The 1,629-nt window shown below is 40.5% G+C and overlaps 1 annotated feature.

Moving 5' to 3' along the window:
- Positions 206 to 255: an enhancer, noted in NCBI's record as "active region_20619". NCBI's record gives its function as "activates an Ori minimal core promoter by ATAC-STARR-seq in GM12878 lymphoblastoid cells {active_cell/tissue: GM12878}" and the evidence as "EXISTENCE:reporter gene assay evidence [ECO:0000049][PMID:35858748]".

Here is a 1,629-nt window from a genome sequence, read left to right on the forward strand (position 1 = left end):
GAGAGGAGAGGGGAATTAAGTCACCTGAGAAGATTAGTGGCAGGAAGTGAGACAGGGCTAGGGTGTAGGGACTTTGTCCTGAGGACTTTAAGAAACCGGAATGAGCCCCCAGGGAGCAGAAGTGGAGGGCCTAGTAGCCCAGAAATCACAAAATGAAGCCAGACACCCAACCTGCGAAGGACACAGTGGCAAGTCCCATTCCGTCCTCTGGAAAGCGCCGAGATTGGTATCCTGAATTATTGGTTTTGTGTCGCCACCTGCTGGCAAATTTTAAATTTGGTTCAATCAAATATTCAAAGAGAGAAACTTAAAAAAAAAAAAAAACAGAATAATTGCAGGCAACTTCCTTGAAGTTACAAAAGACCAAGTTAGAGTAAAACTTATTATAAAAAGAATATTATTTGAATTTAATTCAATAACAGGAGAGGAAAGCCTCACCTGAGATTACTGGGTTCAAAACCAAGCTCTACTACTTACCTGGTAAAATCACTTCACTTATCTTACCTTGACGTCCATAAAGTGAGATAATATTTTCTCAACTCACAGTTGTTGAGGGGAATAAAAGACATCAAGTGTGTAAAGAGCCTGGCACGTGGTGGAAATCCAACAGGATTTGGGGTTAGGGTGGTGGAAAACCGGCTTTGCACATGACCTATGGCCACCTCCTGCAACTCCTCCACTTCCTGTACTGGAAAGCTTCACTTAATCCTTTAGGTCTGAGACCTCAGGGAATGACATAGCCCCACACATGAACCACAGGCCAGGACAACTCCCTGCTCCCTTTTCCACTTTCTTACAGACCCCAGGAACTGAGGTGTCCCTTTCTGTGTTTCATGACCTGAACACTTGACCTGGCTGCCGTATGGGCAAAGGTTTTTCCATCATGCCTCTTCCCAAACCTCCTGTGAAGCCTGCTGATACCTGACTAGTTGATAATCCTAGAAAAACAGACAGGGAGCAGCAGAAAAGACAGATGGGGGAATGAATAACTAAGCTGAAGAAATCTTTTGTGTGTGTGTGGGTTCATACTACAGGTATATGTGTGTATGTATGTATCTCATGGGTTACATGAGATATTTTGATATAGGCAAATAATACAGGCATTTATTTTTTGTGTTACAATCTAATTATATTCTTTTAGTTATTTTTACATGTCCAATAAATGATTGTTGACTGTAGTCACCCCGTCGTGCTATTAAATACTATATCTTACTCATTCTAGCTATATTTTTGCACTCATTAACCATCCCCATTACCCTTCCCACTAGCCTTCTCAACCTCTTGTAACCTACCTTTTACTCTCTATTTCCATGAGTTCAATTGCTTTAATTTTTAGCTTCCACAAATAAGTGAGAACATGCAAAGTTTGTCTTTCTTTGCCTGGTTTGTATCACTTAACATAATGACCTTAGTTCCATCCATGTTGTTGCTAATGACAGGATCTTATTCTTTTTTATGGCTGAATAGTACTCCATTGTGTGTATGTACCACTTTTTCTTTAGTCATTCATCTGTTGATAGACACTTAGGATGCCTCCAAATCTTGGCTATTGTGAATAGTGCTGCAACAAAATGAGAATGCAGATATCCCTTTGATACACTGATTTCCTTTCCTTTGGGTATATACCTA

This window comes from Homo sapiens, chromosome 3 (assembly GCF_000001405.40).
Source record: "Homo sapiens chromosome 3, GRCh38.p14 Primary Assembly".
Lineage (NCBI taxonomy): Eukaryota > Metazoa > Chordata > Mammalia > Primates > Hominidae > Homo > Homo sapiens.